The sequence below is a fragment of the Homo sapiens genome, chromosome 5 (assembly GCF_000001405.40).
Source record: "Homo sapiens chromosome 5, GRCh38.p14 Primary Assembly".
In the NCBI taxonomy this organism is placed as follows: domain Eukaryota; kingdom Metazoa; phylum Chordata; class Mammalia; order Primates; family Hominidae; genus Homo; species Homo sapiens.
In genome coordinates, this window is record NC_000005.10 from 157,580,472 (window position 1) to 157,602,452 (window position 21,981).

Sequence of the window (21,981 nt, forward strand, 5' to 3'; positions counted from 1 at the left end):
TTAGCCCCTGCACAAGAATCACCTTTCCTCCAGTTTCCAATAACATGTTCCTCATTTCCATCGTAGACCTCACCAGAATAGCTCTTAATATTCATATTTCTACTAATATTCTGTTCCTGGTGATATATGCATTCCCTAAGATGACAGAAGCTTTCTCTATAGCTCTCCTCCTGTCTTCCTGAGCCCTGGCCAGAATCGCCTTTAACATCTACACTTCCATCAACAGTCCTTCAAAGCAATCTTGGCTTTTTCTAGCATGCACCTCAAAGCTCATCCAGCCTCTACCGATTACCCGGTTCCAAACTCACTTCTGCATTTTTAGGTATTTTGTTATAGCATAGCCCACTTCTCAGGATCAAAACCTGTATTAGTCTGCTAAGGCTGCCAAAACAAAATAGCACAGACTGGTGGCTTAAACAACAGATTTTTTTTTTTTTTTTTTTTTTTTTTTTGAGACAGAGTCTCTCTCTGTTGCTCAGGCTGGAGTGCAGTGGTGCGATCTTGGCTCACTGCAACCTCTACCTCCCAGGCTCAAACGATCCTTCCACTTCCCGAGTAGCTAGGACTACAGGCGCACACCACCACACCTGGCTAATTTTCGTATATTTTTGTTGAGATGGGGTTTTGCCATGTAGATGAAGCTGGTCTCAAACTCCCGGGCTCAAGCAGTCCTCCCTCCTCAGCCTCCCAAAGTGCTGGGATTACGGGCGAGAGCAACCACACCCGGCCAGAAATTTATTTTCTCACAGTTCTGGAGGCTAGAAGTCCAAGCTCAAGCTTCCATCAGGCTTGCTTTCTGGCAAGGCCTCTCTTCCTGGCCTGTAGAATGGCCACCTCCTCACTGTGCTCTCACACGGCCTCTTCTCTGCACATGCAGTGAGACAGAGAGAGAGTGGAGGGGATGCGCTGGTGGGTCTCTTCCTCTTATTATTTTATCTTATTTTATTTTATTTTTGAGATGAAGTCTTGCTCTGTCACCCAGGCTGGAGTACAGTGGCACAATCTCAGCTCACTGCAACCTCCACCTCCCGGGTTAAACAATTCTCGTGTCTCAGCCCCCCGAGTAGCTGGGATAACAGGTGTGTACCACCACGCCCAGCTAATTTTTTGTACTTTTAGTAGAGATGGGATTTCACCATGTTGGCCAGGCTGGTCTCGAACTCCTGACCTCAACTGATTCACCCGCCTCGGCCTCCCAAAGTGCTGGGATTACAGTTGCGAACCACCGCGCCCAGCCTCTCTTATTATAAAGACATCAGTTCTATCGGAGTAGGGCCCCTCCCTCGTGACCTCATTTAACCTTCATTACCTCTGTAGAAGCCCTATCTCCAAATCCAGTCACATTGGGGGTTAAGGTTCCAACGTATGAATTTGGGGGGTGGGAGAGACAAATGTAGTCTATAATTATGGCTATAACCCTAGAGCCATGAGACTAAAATTCTAGTCCCAGTTTTCTCTCTAACCACCTCCGTGACCTTGGGTAGGTGACTTCTCCTTTCTGGGACTGAGTTTCTGCTGAATAACTTGGGAACGGGAAAGGCTGCCGCCAGTGCATCTCACCCAGGAGCTGTGATGAGCAATTGAGATGATGGAAGTGAAAGTTCCGTGACAAGTGGAAAATGCTGAAGTGCCATGCCTAACTGACTTTGTAGACAGGTCTCCTTGCAAAAGACATAGAAACTCCATTCTCAAAGTTCCCTTCCCTTTACTGGCACTCAACTGATCAATATTTAAGTAGCATGTAGGCCTGAAAATTGGGAGGTAGCTCACAAGACAAAAAGTCCAGTGATTCATGCATGACCAAGAAGTCACAGAGTTCCCAGTGTCGTCTCATCCTACTCGTCCTCCCTACTTATCCACAGGAACGAGTATATATACAGCTTTGACCTCATAGAAGCCTTCCCATGTATTTGTAAAGAACATATATGTTATTTATAAAGAATATTAAGTCGCTACATAATCTTTGAGATATTCGTGACATTTAACCTAGTAATTACATTTCTGGGAAACGATCCTAAAAAAATAATCTGCAGTGCACACACAGATTTATGGACTAGAATGCTCATAATTGTGTTATTTATAATAGTGAAAATATTGGAAACAACCTAAATATTCAACTGTGAAAGAACAGTTCATAAATTATAGAATATCCATAAGATGGATTATTATGCGGCCACTTAAAATGATGGGAGTTTCTGCTCTGATGGTAGGTGAAAAAAAGCAGGGTCCAAAATTACATTTAAGTCTGATCTCAGCTATGTAAATAAAAGACATTTTTAAAAAGACTAGAAGGAACTGTGCCAAAATGTTAACAGTGGTTACCTCTGCATGGTAAAACTATGGATGACAGGGGTTTTTTTGGTTTGGTTTTGTTTTCCTGTTTGTTCTTTCTCTCTCTTTCATTTTCTACAATAGTGAAGTACAGTCATGCATTGCTTAATGACAGGGATACATTCTGAGACCCATCATTAGGGGATTTTGTCATGGGAACATCATAGCGTGCACTTACACAAACCTAGATGGCATAGCCTGCTATACAACCAGGCCATATGGTATAGCCTATTGCTCCTGGGCGACAAACCTGTACAGCATCCTACTGTACTGAATACTGTAGGCAACTGTAACACAATTGTAAGTACTTGTGTATCTAAACATAGAAAGTACAACGCAGTGTGCTACGACGGTACTTGTGTATCTAAACATAGAAAGTACAACGCAGTGTGCTACGATGGGCTATGATGCCACTAGGGGACAGGAATGTTTCAGTCTTATGGGATCAGGCATCTGTCTGGTCCCTCGTTGACTGAAATGTCATTATATGACACATAACTATATTACTTTAGTCATGGGAAGGTGGGCAAGTGTTAAAAACAGAAAGGAACACAAAAGGAAAAAGAGTTTTTCCTGGTATGTTAAACAGAGAGTTTTGCAAACTTGACCTCTGTATATATGGCTGACTTTCTCCTCTGACGATGGGAAAACTGGGCTGAAGTTACAGCAACCAGTTCCAGAATGTGGAAGTTGAGGTGACACAGGTCACTGTTGATCTCTAGCTAGAGTATACTATTAATATTATGCTTAGGAAGTGGCCATCCTGCCAGGGGTTAAATCCCTTTTCTGTCCCTTCGTAGCTGTGTGAACTTGGGCCACTAAATTTTTCTGCGATGTTGTTGTCTCATCTATAAAGGACAATGATAATGACAGTTTTTGTGAGCCTTAAATGGGTATTTAGAATGGCACCCATCACAGAGTAGGCAGTCAATGCATGCTAGCCAGAATTACCCTCCTTCTACTGCTAGTGAGTACTAAGAGGTGTGGTGTTATTTATAATGCCTAGCTTGTGCTTTTAGTTGTATAATGTGTGAAGAGTCTAATTATACTCGTTCTCTAATTATTATCAATGATAATAGTCATGTTATACTATTATTGTCTTTTTCCTATCCCCTCTCCCTAGATCGTGAGCCCCTTGTGAATAAGAGCTGGACCTTGTTCTTCACTCAGCCCTCCAGCATTTGGGAGACACAATCAATGTTTAATTAAACAAATTAGAATTAAACAATTAATAATAATTATCTCATCCTGGCTCAGCGCAAACTTTCAAGCCCCTCATTGAAGAATCATCTTTGTTGAGTCCCTGTTATGGGAATAATGTTGGACCAGTGATAACTTTGCTTTGTGAACTATTTTCTCAGCAACTTGCTCTTTTCTTTAAAGTTCCGTTTACTTAGGTATAATTTACATATATTAACATTCTCCATTTTTTAAATCTATGGTTCCATGATTTTTGACAAGCACACACAGTGGAATAACCACTTGCACAGTCAAGACCACACCAAAAACTTTCCTCCTATCTCTTTGCATTCAGCCACTCCCCTCACTCCTGGAATCACTGGTCTATTTTACGTCCGTCTCAAGTTGCCTTTTCCAGAATGTCATATAAATAGAACTACACAGGATATAGACTCTGGATATGGTTTCTTTCACTTAGCTTAGTGCATTTAAGATTCATCCAGGTCTCTGCATTATCAATATTTCCTTCCTTTTTATTGTTCAGTAGTACTCCATTGTATAGATGTATCATTGTGGGTTTATTCAGTCACCCGTGAAGGATATTTGGGTGTTTCAGTTTTTGATGATTATGAATAAAGTCACTATATATATATATTCAGGTTTTATGTTAACACAATCTTTCGTTTCTATAGGGTGAAAGCAATTCCAATGGGTATTGTGGTTAAGTGTATGTTTCACTTTACAAGAAACTGCAAAAAATATTTTCCAAAGTGGTTGTAAAATTTTGCCTTCCCACAAGCAGGGTATGAAAGTTCTGGTTGCTCTGCATCCTTGTCAGCACTTGGTATTGCCAGTTCTTTTGATTTTAGCCATTGTAATGGATGTGTAGCTTCTTAGCAATTATCTTGCTCTTCAAATACTCCATGATGTAGCCAGGTAGGATGATTATATCCATTTTGATGAAAGGAATTAAAGTCTAAATAGAGTCTTTTACTCAAGTTTTATGGATATATTAAAGACTTTAGTCTTTATTTCTGTTTTTTTTAAATAATTCACAAGAGAAGCAAATCTCCCTAAACCCTGGATAACTCACAAAGCTCTTGAAATCATTCATTCAGCAAGCATTCAATGAGTACCTATTATGTGCCCAGCATATGCTAAAATCTACAGAGATTCTGAGATAAGGTTTCCACTATAACAATTATGGTAGAGGGAGGCGCATAAAAGAAAGGAGCTGATAGGAACTGACAAGTAAATTAAGTGACCGATTACAGAGGAGGATCAAGTTTATTGACATATGACTTTTGTCCTTTGATTTGTCAGCATTGGGTACTGTCACCAACGTGGTGCATAATAACTACTATCATATCTGGAGCACCCTGATTGGTTCCAAGCACAGTGCCTACATCATCTCATTTAATGCCCATAATAGTCCCATGAAGAGATCTTAGGTTAAACTATGAGGAAGTGTTGATTTTGTAGGTCAGAAACAGTTAAGCATTGGTAATGTCATATGGTTCAACTGAATAATAATAGTTACTATTGATTGGACAAAGCTTACAATGTGCCCAGTGCATTATCTCATTTTATCCTCTCTGGTAGGTACTACTGATACTCCTACTTTACAGATGAGGCAACTGTGCCTGGAGGTAGTGGTACAATGGGAACTAGAAAATATTCATATGGTAGCCAGGTTGGAGCTGAAGCCTGGATTCAAACCACAATGTGAGTAACATTAAAGTCACTGTCTATAACAACAGTGCTACTCTGATATTACCATAGATGAGCAAACTGAGGCCTGAAGAGGTGATATTGCCTGAGGGGGCCATGGACTGTCATACCAAGGTTCATGGGTCATCCCAGCTTCAAACTCCTGGCCAAATAAGTTTTTCTCATTGCCTCGTCACTCTGGAAATTGGGCTGAATTCAGGAGGCCTGTCCTTGGAAACACTTAACATCTGAATGATGCCCCCTTAGCTCAAAGAACAGCCAGTAAAGAGGCACCAATGCCTATTTTCTCCCATTTGACCCTAATAGAAACATTTTTTTAATTAATAAACTTTATTTTTAGAGAAGTTTTAGGTTCATAGCAAAATTGAGAATCTAGTACAGAGAGTTCCCATGTATCTTCTGGCACACATAAACAAAACCTCTCCCCCAACTATCTATATCTCGCACTGTAGATTTGTTACAATTGATGAACTTATATTGACACATCATCACCCCAAATTCATAGTTTACCTTAGGCTTCACTCTTGACACATTCTATGGGTTTTAATAAATGTATGCCATGTATCCACCATTACAGTGACATATGGAATAGTTTCACTGCCCTAAAAATCCTCTGTGTTCTGCCTATTCATCCCTTCCTCCCCACTAATTCTTGACCATCGCTAATCTTTTTTACTGTCTTCACACTTTTGCCTTTTCCAGAATGCATGCAGTTGGAATTGCACAGCATGAAGCCTTTTCAGACTGGCTTCTTTCAGTTAGTATTGGCATCTAAGTTTCCTCTATGTCTTTTCATGGCTTGATAGCTTACTTCTTTATTCCATTGTCTATATATACTGCAGTATATATATTAATTCCCCTATTAAAGGATATTTTGGTTGCTTCCAAGTTTTTGGCAATTATGAATAAAGCTAGATTATGAATAAACATTAGTGTGCAGGTTCTTGTGTGGACATAAGTTTTCAATTCATTTGAGTAAATACCAAGGAGCCTGATTGCTGGATGGTAAAATAAGAGTATGTTTAGTTGTGTAATAAACTGCCAGACTTTGGTGGGATGCAGTGGCTCATGTCTGTAATCTCAGTACTTTGGGAGGCCTAGGTAGGTGGATCACCTGAGGTTGGGAGTTTGAGACCAGCCTGGCCAACATGGTGAAACCCCGTCTGTACTAAAAACACAAAAATTAGCCAGGGGTGGTGGCACATGCCTGTAATCCCAGCTACTTGGGAGGCTGAGGCAGGAGAATCACTTGAACCTGGGAGGTGGAGCTTGCAGTGAGCTGAGATCAAGCCACTGCACTCCAGCCTGGGTGACAGAGTCAGACTCCATCTCAAAAAAAATAAAAATAAAAAATAAAATAAACTGCCAGGCTGTCTTTCAAGGTGGCTGTGCCATTTTGCATTTCCACCAGCAATGAATGAGGATTCCTATTGCTCCACATCCTCATCGGCATTTGATCTTGTCAGTGTTTTGGATTTGGGCCATTGTAATAGCTATGTAGCGGTATCTTGCTGTTTTAATCAACAATCCTCTAATAACATATGATATTGAACATCTTTTTATATGCTTCCTTTCCATCTGTGTATCTTCTTTGGTAAGGTGTCTGTTCAGGTCCTTTGCCTATTTTTCATTTGGGTTGCTAATTTTCTTATTGTTGAGTTTTAACAGCTCTTGATATTTTTGGATAAATGTTGTTTATCAGATATGTTTTCTGCAAATATTTTCTCCCAATTCATGGCTTATGTTCTCATTCTCTTGATATTGTCATCACACAGCAGAAGTTTGTATTTATTTTTATTATTATTATTATTTGAGACAAGATCTGGCTCTATCACCCAGGCTGGAGTGCAATGGTGCACTCTTGGCTCAATGCAACCTCTGCCTCTGGGCTCAGGCCATCCTCTCACCTCAGCCTCCTGAGTAGCTGGGACTACAAGCACGTGCCACCATGACCAGCTAATTTTTTTTTTTTTTTTTTTTTTTTTGGAGAAACCAGGTTTCACCTTGTTGCCCAGGTTGGTCTCAAACTTGGGAGCTATAGCCATCCACCCACCTTGGTCTCCCAAAGTGATGGGATTACAGATAGAAGCCACCACACCTAGCCAGAAATTTTTAATTTAATGAAGTCCAGCTTATCGATTGTTTCTTGCAAGAATCATGCCTTTGATGTTGTGTCTAAAAAGTCATCACCATACCCAAGATCATCAAGTTTTCTCCTATGTTGTATTCAAAGAGTTTCACAGTTTTGCATTTTATATTTAGGTCTATGATCCATTGTGAGTTAATTTCTTAAAGAGGGTAAGATCTGTGTCTAGATTCTTTTTTTTTTACATATGGGTGTCTAGTTTTTTTGTTGTTGTTGTTGAAATGACTAGCTTTACTCCATTGTATTTGCCTTTGCTTCATTGTCAAAGATCTGTATTTTATGAGTTTTATTTTTGGGTTCTACTACTCCTCATTGATCTATTTCTCTATTCTTTCTCCAACACCACAGTCTTGACCGCTATAGCTTTATAGTAAGGCTTGACAGGTCCTCCAACTTCGTTCTCCTTCAATATGGAGTCGGCTATGCTGGGTCTTTACCTCTCCATATAAACTTTAGAATCAGTTTATTGATATCCAAAAAATAACTTGTTTTTTTTTTTAATACAGTTTCACTCTGTCGCCCAGGCTGGAGTGCAGTGGCATGATCTCAGCTCACTGCAACCTCTGCCTCCAGGGTTCAAGCAATTCTCATGCTTCAGCTTCCTAAGTAACTGGGACTACAGGTGCTCACCACCATGCCCAGCTAATTTATTTTTTCTTTTGTATTTTTAGTAGAGATGGGGTTTCACCATGTTAGCCAGGCTGATCTCAAACTCCTGGCCTCAAGTGATCCACCCACCTTGGCCTCCCGAAGTTCTGGGATTATAGGCATGAACCACCACACCCCGCTATTTTTTTTTTAATGGAATTGTGTTAATTCTACAGATCAAGTTAGGAAGAATTGGCATCTGGACAATAATAAGTCTTCACATTCAGAACATAGAATAGTTCTCTATTTATTTAGTTTTTTTAGTTTTTGTAGTTTTTCTCATCTAGATCTTGTACATATTTTGTTAGATGTATACCTAAGTGTTTCATTTTGGGGAAGGTGCTAATATAAATGGCGTCGTAGTCTGCTTTCTGTTGCCTGCAACAAAATACCTGAAAACTGGGTAATTGATAATAAAGAAACGCATTTGTTAGAATTGTGGAGGCTAAGAAGTCCAAAGTTGATGAGCAGCATATGGTGCAGGTTATCTTGCTGGTGGGGACTGTCTGCAGAGTCCCAAGGTGACACAGGGTAGCACATGATGAGAGGACTCAGCATGCTAGTCCAGTTCCCTTCTCCTCTTATAAGCCACCAGTCCCTTCCCATGATAACCCATTAATCCATTAATCCATGAATAGATTAACCCATTCATGAGGGCAAAGCCTCTTAAAGGCCCCTCCTCTCACTACTGCCGCATTGTGGATTAAGTTTCAACATGAATTTTTGAGGGGACAAACATTCAAACCAAAGTCATATGTTTTTAATGCAAATTCCAATTGTTCATTGATGGTATATAGAAAAGTGACTAACTTTTGTATATCAACCTTGTATCTTGTAACCTTGCTATAATTACATATTAATTCCAAGAGTGGTTTTGGTTATTTTGTTTGTTCTGGTTAATTCTTTGAAATTTTCTTTTTTTTTTTTTTCTTTTGAGAAGAGTCTTGCTCTGTTGCCCAGGCTGGAGTACAGGAACTCCATCTTGGCTCACTGCAACCTCTGCCTCCCAGGTTCAAGTGATTCTCTTGCCTCAGCCTCCGGGGTAGCTGGGACTACAGGCATGTGCCACAACGCCCAGCTAATTTTTTGTATTTTTAGCAGAGACAGAGTTTCACCATGTTGGCCAGGCTGGTCTTGAACTCCTGGCCTCAAACGATACATCTGCCTTAGCCTCCCAAATTGCTGGGATTATACAGGCATGAGCCACCATGCCTGGTGAAAGTATTTTTTTAAATCTCCAAGTATCTGGGGATTTTCCACCTATTTTTCTGTTATTGATTTCTAATTTCATTCAGTTGAAATCTGACTGCAGCCTTTGTATACCTTCTATTATTTTAAATTTGTTAAGGTGTGTTTTATGGCTCAGAATGGGGTTTATCTTGGTGAATGTTCCATGACATCTTGAGAATGTATAAATCTGCTGTTGTTGAATGAAGTACTATTGGGTTCAACTATGCCCTTACTGATACTCTGCCTGCTTTATCTATCTGTTACCAACAGAGGAATATTGAGGTCCCCAACTATAATGGTGCCTTCATCTATTTCTCCTTGTTGTTCTATCAGCTTTTGCCTCACATAGTTTGATGCTCTCTGTTAGGTGCATACACTTTAGGACTGTTAGGTCTTCTTGGAATATTGACACCTTCATCATTATATAATGTCTCCCTTTATTCCTGATAACATTCCTTGCTCTGAAGTCTGCTCTGTTACACTACAATCGCTTTTGATTAGTATTAGCAGAGTGTATTTTTCTCTATCCCTTTCCTTTTAATCTATATGTGTCTTTATATTTAAAGTTGAGTTTATCGCGGACAACATGTGGTTGAGTCTTCTTTTTTGATCTACTCTGATCTGTCTTCTAATTGATATATTTAGATCTTTGACATCTAAAGTGATTGTTGATATAGATGAACTATTACCTATCATATTTGTTACTGTTTTCTATTTGTTGCCCTTATTCTGTTTTCCTATTTTTGTCTTTCATATTTTCTCTGGCTTTTGTGGCTTTGAGCATTTTTATGATTCTATTTTCTCTCCTTTTTTAGCATATCAAGTTGTCCTAGGGTTTGGAAAATACATTTACAACTAATCCAAGTCCACTTTCAAATAACACTCTACCACTTCCTGGGTAGTGTGAATACCTTATAATAACAAAATAGTCCTAATTCCTCCCATTCCTTGTATTATTGCTGTGATTCATTTCTCTGACAGATAATCATGTACATGTATATATAAACATTTATAATTGAATACATATGTTGCTATTATTATTTTGAACACAATGTTATCTCTTAGAAGAATTAAGAATAGGAAAAATAAAAGTTTCCATTTTATTGTCATTTATTTATTCTCTGTTGCTCATTTTTTCTTTATGTAAACCTAAGTTTCTGACCCTTTATCAATTTCATTCTCCCTGAAGAACTTTTAAAAAATATTTATTGGCTGGGCGTGGTAGCTCACGCCTGTAATCCCAGCACTTTGAGAGTCCCAGGCGGGTGGATCATGAGGTCAAGAGATCAAGACCATCCTGGCCAACATGGTGAAACCCCATCTCTACTAAAAATACAAAAATTAGCTGGGCGTGTAGTCCCAGCTACTCAGGAGGCAGGAGAATCACTTGAACCTGGGAGGTGGATGTTGCAGTGAGCCGAGATCACGCCACTGCACTCCAGCCTAGGCAGCTGAGCGAGACTCCATCTAAAAAAAAAAAAAAAAAAAAAAAATGCTTGCAAGCAGACTATTGGCAACAAATTCCTTCCATTTTTGTTTGAGAAAGTCTTTATTTCTCCCTAGCTTTTTTTTTTTTTTTTTTTTTTTTTGAGACAGAATCTCACTCTGTTGCCCAGGCTGAAGTGCAATGGTGCAATCTCAGCTCACTGCAACCTCTTCACCCCAGGTTCAAGAGATTCTCCCACCTTAGCCTCCCAGGTAGCTGGGATTACAGGTGTGCACCACCACTCCTGGGTAATTTTTTTTTTTTTTTTTAGTAGAGATGCTGTTTCACCACTTTGGCAAGGCTGATCTTGAACTCATGACCTCAGGTAATCCACCCACCTCGGCCTCCCAAAGTGCTGGGATTACAGGCGTGAGCCACTGTGCTCGGCCTCTCCTTTGTTTTTGAAGAATTCTGTACCATGGTGTACAGAATTCTGGATTGGTGGGATTTTCTCTTAACACTTTAAATATTACACTCAATTCTCTTCTTGCTTGTATGGTTTCTGAAAAGCTAGCTCCAATTTTTTGCTCTTCCTTAAATAAGGTGTTTTTTTCCCCCTGGTTTCTTTCAAGATTTTGCCTTTGTGTTTGATTTTCAGAAGTTTTATTATGATATGACTAGGTGTAGTTTTTCGTTTGTTTGTTCATTTTAACATATTCCTCGTGTGTGACTAGGTGTCCCTGTTTTTTGTTTGTTTGTTTGTTTACTTGGCATATATCCTGCCTGGTGTTCTCTGAGCTTTTTGGATCTGTGGTTTGGTGTCTGGCATTAATCTAGGGAAATTCACTATTGCTTCTGCTCCTTTCTCTTTTTCTTCTCCTTCTGGTATTTTCATTGTGTGTATCTGTACCTTTTGTACTTGTCTCACAATTACTGGGTATTCTGTTTTATTTTTTCAGTCTTTTCTTCTCTTTGTTATTCAGTTTTGCAAATTTCTATTCTCACATCCTCAGGCTCAGAGGTTTTTTTCTTAGCCATGTTCAGTCTACTCATGAGCCCATCATAGATTCTTCATTTCTGTAACAGTGATTTTAATCTCTAACATTTCTTTTTAATTCTTAGAATTCCCTCCTCTCTGTTTACATTATCTATCTGTTCTTGCATGTTGTCTCTTTTTCCATTAAAGCCCTCAGCATATTAATCATATTTAAAATGTTTTTCAGTTGGTTGGGCATGGTGGCTCATGCCTGTAATCCCAGCACTTTGGGAGGCCAAGGCAGATGGATCATCTAAGGTCAGGAGTTAAGACCAGCCTGGCCAACATGGTAAAGCCCTGTCTCTGCTAAAAATAACAAAAATTAGCGGAGTCTTTAGCAGTTTGTCAATTACAGTTCCAGTTTTCTTCCCCCAGCACCTCCCAGGAGGTTCCTGCTGGTGGGTTTCTGCTCTGATGTTATGATACTCTGTATCTATCTGTTTCTCCAATTTTGTGGGCAGCAGCTTGCCATATAACCTCACTTCTCCACTGGACATGAGAAGAGCTGATTTTTCAGTTCATCAAGCTTTTTACTTGTTGTTACGACCGAGTGGTGACTTCTAAGCTCCTTTCATGCAGGACTAGAAACCGGAAGTCAAATATTTTTAATAGATAATGATGCAAAATGTATCATAGGAGCCAGCTTCCTGCAGCTGTTTCCCCTCCTCAGCTAGCAGCCACCCTTCCCTAGGTGCTTTTTCCCCTTTCTAGATAAAGCCCTGGTGGGATTTAGAGGTTACACCAACCTTTTGCAGACATTTCACTCCATTATCTTCTTTGATCCATTCAAAAAGCCATGTGAACTGGGTGTTAGGATCCCATTTCACAGAAGAGAAAATTGGCATTTTAGGGGTAAACAACTTCCCCAAGGTCACACAGCCAGGACACAATTCCAAGAGGGAAAAGGAGGAAAAAAAGATAGAACCCTAGCATGGGAGTTTTCTCCCACGGAGATGACGTGGGGATACAGATTTCAGAGCAACAACCTTTTGCATTTATAGCCACACCCAAAGGACATCTGGGTCCATGAATTTTTCATTCAGCTCTATGCAAAGCGCTATGACTTGCCCTGGAAACAGAGGTTCCTGGGTAAGAGCCCCTGCCTTCTAGAGCCTCACTAGCCCAAGTGTGGTCCACAGACCAGCAGCATCAGCAGAACCTGGAGCCTATTAGAAATGCAGACTGTCAGTTCCCACCCAGACCTCTTGAATCAGAAGCTGCATTTTAATAAGATCCAAAAAAAAAAAAAAAAAAAAAACCCAAGGTGATTTGGCTGCTACTTAAAGTCTGAAAAGCATTGCTAGGAGACAGTCCAAACTTGATTTTACATATGGTAAGAGAAAACAAGTGTTTTCCTGGAACGGAAGCTAAGGATTGGAAAAGCCCAGAAAAAGAGAGATTGGATATAAACAAGGATCGTAGGAGGCTTCATGAAGGAGGGGTTTTGAAGTTGAGCCTTGAAGCAGAAAAGTGCATATGAACAAAAGTACAGAGATGGGAAGTGTTTAGTGTTTGGGGAAAGGCAAATGGCCTCATGTGACAAGAGGGAGAGAGCGGGAGGTGAAATTAAGAATAATAGGAGCAAATGGTCAAGGATGTTTTCTGTATGGATAATAAGGCAGCTGGAATCCTCTTTGTGAGAGGTCATGAGCTGGTGACCTGTGGGCCAACACAGTGTTGTAAAAATAATTTGGATTGTAGTTGTGTCCAAAATATTTTCAAAATGTTAAAAATTTAATTATCATAAAAATACATAGTGAGCATTTTCCAGGTTTTAATTAACTAATCAGAGAACCAGCAAGATCACCAAGGTGGTTCAAAAAAGGACAGGAAAAACTAGACAAAAGGAACTCTAAAATAAGATTGAGATCCAAACTGGTTAATAACCTACAGGGCAATAAAACTACATTCTTTGGGGTTATCTTCTCTACCAGACGATAATCGTTTACAGCTTTACTGGACAAAAAAAAAAAAAAATCATTGACAATTTATTCGTTTTCTGTAATTTAACATCCAACTTTACAGAGTTATAAAATGTCAGACCCCTAATTAATCACAAACAGTAAACAGCAGGTGAAACAATCTTGTGTTTCCCTGGAGTTAGACAATGCCCTGAACAGAAAAGACAGTGAGTGGTTAAGGGCAGTGATTCTCAAACCTAAGCTTAAAGCAAAATTCCCTGAAGGGCTCATTACAACACAGAATGCTGATCTCCAACCTCAGAGTTTCTGATTTAGTACATCTGGGGCAGACTGATGATTTGTTCTCAGTTGATGCAGATGCTATTTACCAGGGAAAACCCTTTGAGAACCACTGATCTTAGATGCCACTGAATGAAAGAAACTGCAGTCATTCTTTTGCCTCATTTCCAAATTTTGGATATTTTTTCTGAACAGTTGCCAAATGTTCAAAAATCAGAGAAAAAAAATTCCTGATTGTGGCTCTTATGAAAAATTAGAAAGTCAGACAATAGTAAGTCTAAATTCTCCCGTGGTGACAATTGCTTAAAGCTCAATATCAGTTGCTCCTTTTTTTTTTCACTAACCCTAACCTACATCACTCATTTATTTTGCTGGCATTTGATTTTGATATCCCTGCAAAACATGGTGGAAACACAATGCAGAATTTGGAGGAGGAACATGAGTGCAGCTGGTTAACACCTATCTCTGTATCACATCTGATCAGCTCAGGCACCCAGGGCTGGCTTCCCAGAAGTACAACCCAGGCAGTTGCACAGGGCATCATTCTCAGGAGAGCCTCACACTTGATTTAATGCTCTGGTATTGCCATTTTGCAATTCTTAATAATTTTTGGAGAAGAGGGTCTCACATTTTCGTTTTGCATTGGGACCCACATATCATGTAACTGTTTTGCAGCCACCTCAAAGTTTGGAATCCACACTTAAAGGTGACCCTCTCATCACCAGATTGCTAAGGAGAGGAGGAGGTAATTCCAGAATCAGAAACCTAGGGGATACTTTAGAAACCATCTTGCCCTGCAGATAGGGTCACCATTTCATTTTATAGCTAGGGCTACTAAGGTCCAGAAAGAGGAAATTGACTTCCTCAAGGTCATGGACAAATCCTGAAAAGGGAACCAGATTAAAAGTCTGAAGTGGTGAGTCTGCAAGGCTGTGAATACTAAGGCTGCCAGCAAGTTTATGTATCTGATATACCCCTGCATACCAATATGAAAATTCCTGTTTTTCACTTAGCTCAGTCAACTTTGGGTTGATCTGGTTGAAGCAGGAGAAGGATGTGGATAAAACGGGAAGAGTGGGGGTGTGATCTTTAAACAGATCAAGAAACTTGTATAAACAGACCCATTTAGAATAAGGATTGTGAAAGGAAAAAATCTTATATATGAACTCCACCCCTATGTTTGTTACAAAGGACAGATCTCCACCTAAACCCCTAAATAAACTGCAGAGGCAAAAGCATTCAGGAAAAACCCAGCAATATACTACCCAATTGAAAATGGCAATCAGCTCAACATCCCTAATCATCAGAGAAATGCAAATCAAAACTACGATGAGATACCACACTCTAGTCAGAATGGCTATTATTAAAAAGTCAGAAAACAACAGATGCTGGCAAGGCTGTGGAGAAAACGGAATGCTTATACATTGCTGGTGGGAATGTAAATTAGCTCAGCCACCGTGGAAAGCAGTTTGGAGATTTCTCAAAGGACTTAAATAGAACTACCATCAACCCAGCAATTCCATTACTGGGTATATATCCAAAAGAAAATAAATCATTCTACCAAAAAGACACATACACTCACATGTTCATTGCGGTGCTATTCACAATAGCAAAGACATGGAATCAACTAACCTAGGTGCCCACCAGTGGTAAATTGGATAAAGATAATGTGGTCCATATACACCATGAAATACTATGCAGCTATAAAAAAGAATGAAATAATGTTCTTTGCAGCAACATGGATGCAGCTGGAGGCCATTATCCTAAGCAAATTAACACAGGAACAGAAAACCAAATACTGCATGTTCTCATAAATAAGTGGGAGCTAAACATTGAGTGCATATGGACATAAATATGGAAACAATAGACAACGGGGACTACTAGAGGGGGAAGCGGTGGGGCAAGGGTTGAAAAAAAAGCTATTGGATACCATGCTTACTACCCGGGTAATGGGATCATTCACATCCCAAACCTCAGCATCATGCAATATACCCATGTAACAAACCTGCACATGTACCCCTGAATCTAAAATGAAAGTTGAAATTATTGTTTAAAATGGCAATCAATAAAGCACTTAATTTCAGCTGGCTCCACTTAGCCAGAGAACAGCTCGAAGACCTGTAGGTCTCGACTGCCTAGTTTTAGGTTAATGGCTGCACACACTCAGAAAGTCGAGTTCCTGCAGCTGGTTGAGTGGTAAGTTGAAGTGAGAATTAGGCAAATAAGTCAGCCCTTGCTCACATCTGCTCTTGTGGTCTGAGTGGGTGGATCTTCCTCTCCTCCCCAACCACTGCTCAGGAATAGTCAAGAACACAACGCCTGGGTGTAGAACTGCATCATTAAACCCACTGTGCTTGGCTCAGTGATGGGTATATGGCCCTAAGCTGGACCAATGGGCATCTTCCCCAAGACTCTTGACAGCTCTATCAAAAATTTGCTTTCTTCTCGTCTGAGATGGTAAGCAATATAAGTTTGGAGCTATGAGTTGTCTTCTTGCTGCCATGTCAGGAAAGAACCTGTCTAAAAAATGAAGTCAAACAGTGGTAAGAGGTATGGAGAAAGAGAGAGACAAGGTCCTAGTATTATTATTTGAACCTGTGGATTTAGCCATGCCTGAAGTCAGCCGCCTCAACTTTTCAACTACATGAGCCAATAATTTTCTTTTTTGCTCAAGCTAGTCTGAGTTAGAGGTCTGTCACTTGTGACTGAAAATATCTCAATCATGCAAAGGCCTCCTCCATTCTAGGCACTGTGCTAGCTGCTGGGATTATAAGAGTGGACAAAGACACATGTCATTCCTATCTTCACGGTACTTAGCATCTAGTGGGAAAGATGACAGTAAGCAAGTGAGCAAATACACATATACATAAAATATAATAATTACACATTGATATTTGTAAACAATTGATGCTAAAAGAGAGAATGAGAAAGGAGGACTACTTTAGACAGCATGGTGGGGTAAGGCTCTCTTGAGTTGTTTTTTGAGCTGAGAGTTTGTGGTTGGTATGAAGAACAGAGGGAAGAAAGTTTCAGGTGGCAGAGACAGCCACCATTCTCAGGCTTGAAAGGCCTCTATTCATTCCAGGACCTGAAAGAAGGCCTTCATTCATTCACCCATTCAACAAACATCTGTTAGACGGTGTCAAGTGCTAAGTACAAGGAGATAAAAGCAGCCCCTGGAGAGTTGATAAGAGACATTGAAAGCTATACAAATGTTTGAACCATGTTATTCAGCAATTCCACTTCTAGAAATTCAGTCAAAAGAAAATAACAGGAATTTCTGCAAAAACATAGCTATCAGGATGTTCATTGAAGCGTTATTTATTTTTTTAACTCTAATTGAAGTGCCACAAACATACTAAAAGAGTGCACATAGACCGGGTACGGTGGCTCACGCCTGTAATCCCAGCATTTTGGGAGGCCGAGGCAGGCGGATCACCTGAGGTCAGGAGTTAGAGACCAGCCTGGCCAACATGCCGAAACCCCATCTGTACTAAAAATACAAAAATTAGCCGGATGTGGTGGTGCATACCTGTAATCCCAGCTACTCAGGAGGCTGAGACAGGAAAATTACTTGAACCCAGGAGGCGGAGGTTGCAGTGAGCCGAGATCGTGTCACTGCCCTCCGGCCTGGGTGACAGAGCAAGACTCCGTCTCAAAAAAAAAAAAAAGGATGTACATATCACAGTAAACAGTTCAACTATTTTCACGGCCTGAACACACCCACATTATCGAAAAAGAAAAGAGAACATGCCCTGCACTCCAGAAGTCCCCTTTTGCCACCTTCTAGTCACAAATCCCCCTTTAAGCAAGGGTAACTACTAGCCTGACTTCTAATAATATAGATTAATTTTGCCTCTTTTTACTTTATATAAATAGAATCATCCAGTATGTAACTTGGGGGAAAGGGATATGGGAAGGTCTTGGCTTCTTTTGCTTAAGTTTTGTGTTTGTGAGATTTCACTATATCGTTTATGTAGTTATAGATTGTCTGTTCTGCATAGTATTCCATTATCAGAATGAACCACAGTTTAGTCATCCGTTCTACCATTTATAGATATTTGGGTTGTCTCTAGACTGAGACTATTACAAACAGTGCTGTTGTGAGCATTCTTTTGGTTAATATATATTTGCATTTCTTTTAGGTATATACCTAGGACTGACATTGCTGAGTCATAGTATATGATCAGCTTTAAAAGATATTGTTAAACAGTCCAAGAAAATGGTTGTATCCATTCATACCTCAATCAACTTTGTAAGAGAGTTCTGGTTTCTTCACATGGTTGATAACACTTGACATTTTCCATTTTTAAAAAAAATTTAGCCATCTGGTGGGTTTGTGTTGGTACTGACTTTTGGTTTCAACTTTCATTTTCCTGATAGTGAATAAGATGATTAGTGAAAATCTTGTCATCTCTTTGTTGGCCATTAGATATCCCCTTTCCCAAGGAGCCTGTTCAAGTCTGTTTTCCATTTTTCAAGTGGGCAAGCTGTTTTTTTCTGTTGGTTTGCAGGAGTTCTTTAAATATCCTGGCTACAAGCCTTTGGTCAGTCATATATATGAAAATATATTCTTCCACTTTACAGGGTACGTCCTTACTCTCCTTTGATACAAAGCAATTCTTAACATTAATATCTTAGAATTCATCATTTTTATGAGCACTACTTTTTGTATCCTATTTAAGAAATTGTTGGCCAGGTGCTGTGGCTCATGCCTGTAATACCAGCACTTTAGAGGCCAAAGCAGACAGACCTCTTGAGCCCGGGAGCTTGAGACCAGCCTGGGCAACATGGCAAAACTCCGTCTCTACAAAAAAATACAAAAATTAGTTGGTCATGGTGGCCCAGGAGGATCACTTGAGCCCGAGAGGCAGAGGTTGTAGTGAGCCAAGATCACGCCACTGCACTCCAGCCTAGATGACAGAGCGAGACCTTGTCTCAAAAGAAAAGAAAAGAAAAGAAAAGAAATTGTTTCCCACCCCAGGAGCAGAAAAATATTCTCCTATGTTTTTCTCAAAAAACTTTACTACATTCATTTTACATTTAGATCTATAACCTATCTGAAATTTATCTTTATGACGTGAGGTAGAGATCAAGATAATTTTTTCCATATGGCCGTGTTTCCCAAATGGTGCACCAAGTCACCCTTGGGCACTGCAGTAAACTCACAGAGGGGCCATGGGACATTTTACCTTTTTGAGGGAAGCACAGTGACAACTGTTGGATACCATATAAACTGTTAGCTGGAAATCGTTCACAGTTTCAATGTTAAATCATACTCCATTCCCTTCAATGACATGATATTTTTGCAAAGCAGGGTTTTTTGAGGTTGCTATGATAAAAAGTAAATGCCATGTGAAATCAGGAAATGAAAATGATGATGTTGTCTGATTCCAAGACCTGAGAAACTGTGTAGTCCTCAACAGGAGCACAGTCTACAGTCTATTGGTCAATATTGTGGTTACTTAAAAACAAAATATTTTTTCTTTCAATTTACAAGTATTTTTTTCCAAACGATTACTACGTTGTTAAGATATAATTATTCATTAAGTTGTTTGGATCTAACTACTTAATAAATAGAACTGTTAAGTATTTCTTTTTCTTTCGTTCATTCTTTTTTTTTTTTTGACAGTCTTGTTCTGTCGCCCAGGCTGAAATGCAGTGGCATGATCTCAGCTCACTGCAACCTCTGCCTCCTGGGTTCAAGTGATCCTCCTGCCTCAGCCACCCAATTAGCTGGGATTACAGGCATGTGCCACCATGTCCAGCTAATTTTTGTACTTTTAGTAGAGATGGGGTTTCACCATGTTGGCCAGGCTGGTCTCGAACTCCTGACCTCAGGTGGTCCACCTGCCTTGGCCTCCCAAAGTGCTGGGATTAAGAACTGTTAGGTATTTCTTTTGACTGAGGGTTGCCATGAAAAAAATTACTGAGACACTAAAGTTACCATATATGGAGAAAGTGTGGGAACCTTCCTGAGACAGACAGACTCCAGGGCAGTCCCCACAGTTTCCACCCTAGTGTTTGTGTTCTTCTGTGATCCCTGCTCTTGAGTGTGGATGGAATCCCTGACTTGCTTCTAAGCCACAGAATACAGCAAAGGTGACTGATGTATGTGATTGTATGTACAGTACATGACTGTGTTACATTAGACTGTAACACCCAATTTGGGAGGAGACTGCCTCCCTTGTTGGCTTTTAAGAAGCAGGCTGCCTTGTTGCGAGTTACTCTGGGGAGAGGGCCATGTGTCAAGGAGGTGAGGGCAGCCTTAAGCCAACAGCCAGCAACTAACTCAGGCCCTCAGTTTCCATCCTGTAAGGAACTGAATTCTGCCAATAACCACACAAGTTTGAAGCAAGTCTTCCCTGGTCCAGCGTCAGAAAAGACTGCAATGCTGGCCACCACCTTTTTATTTTTTAAGATGAGGTCTTGCTCTTTGCCCAGGCTGGAGTGCAGGGGCACAGTCACAGCTCATTGCAGCCTCCAATTCCTGGATGCAAGTAATCCTCCTGCCTCAGCCTCCTGAGTAACTGGGACTACAGATGCACACGACCACTCCCAGCTATTTTTTTTTTTTTTCCAGAGACAGGGGCTTGCTATCTTGTCCAGGCCGGTCTTGAATTCCTAGCCTCAAGTGATCCTCCCACCTTGGCCTCCCAAAGTGCTGGGATTACAAGCATGAACCGCTGCACCTGGCTGCTGGCCAACACTTTGACTGCAGCTTTGTGAGACCCTGAAGCAGAGGGCCTGGGTAAGCCATGCCCAAACTCTTGTCTACAGAAACTGTAAGATAATAAGTGTGTGTTGTGTTAAGGAGCAAGTTTGTGGTAATATTGTTACCCAGCAATAGATAACAAATGCACTCACCATATAGATAACTGACTGATCCAGCATCATCTAATGAAGAGACCATTCTTTGTAGTGTCTAGTCTTTTTCATAATAGAAGTAGAAACCCCCAAAATTTCTTTCTTAAAAAGTGTGTTTTATTAGGCCGGGCATGGTGGCTCACGTCTATAATCCCAGCACTTTGGGAGGCCGAGGCAGGTGGATCACTTGAGGTTGGGAATTCGAGACCAGCCTGACCAACATGGAGAAACCCCATCTCTACTGAAAATACAAAATTAGCCGGGCATGGTGGCGCATGCATGTAATCCCAGCTGGTCAGGAGGCTGAGGCAGGAGAATCGCTTGAACCCAGGAGGCAGAGGTTGTAGTGACCTGAAATCGTGCCACTGCACTCCAGCCTGGGCAACAAGAGTAAAACTCCATCTCAAAAAAAAAAAAAAGTGTTTTTTTCCTTCTTTTTTTGTTTTCCTAGGCTCTTAAAAACCACCAAAATTTCTAATAAAAGTTTGATTAATAGACCATGATATATTTCGTCCACATGACAGAGTAATAGACAACCCATAAAAATTATGTGGAAAATATCTAGTAACATGAAAACGTTTTCACAGTAGATTACTAAGTGAAAAATATGAGTTTAAAATTGTACATTCAATTATATTCTACTTGTGTAAAATGTGAGTATTATGTGTATCTGCATTGTTAAAAGACTGTTTAAAAATGCCTTTGGGAGAGAGAGGATTACAGGTGTTCAACAACTTTTTTGTGTGTTTTTAAAATTTTCTACAGAGAAATTGCCAACAAATTTCCTATAGAGAGATCATATTAGTTTATACACATACATATTCATACACATTTTTTTCCTTAAAATAGAGATGAGGTCTTGCTATGTTGTCCAGGCAGGCCTCAAACTCCTGGCTTCAAGTGATCCTTCCTCCTCAGCCTCCTAAACTTCTAGGATTACAAGTATGAGCCTCCATACCTGGTCCACATACTTTTTAAATTAAAAAAAAAAAAACAGTCCCTGTGTTGAAGGAATTTATAGGAGACAGGGTGTAGACAAATAAGAATGCTGTAACATTAGAGACTATATATTCAGGACCCTTTAGAGACCCAATGGAAACCATCTTAACACAGAAGGGAAGATATTGGCTCATGGACTTTGATTGGCCTTGCTTGGGTTATATGCCATCCTTGGATCAATTACAAA

General features: G+C 40.1%; 1 annotated feature.

Annotated features, from left to right (window-relative positions):
• Positions 13,932-14,031: a silencer, noted in NCBI's record as "silent region_16562". NCBI's record gives its function as "represses an Ori minimal core promoter by ATAC-STARR-seq in GM12878 lymphoblastoid cells {active_cell/tissue: GM12878}" and the evidence as "EXISTENCE:reporter gene assay evidence [ECO:0000049][PMID:35858748]".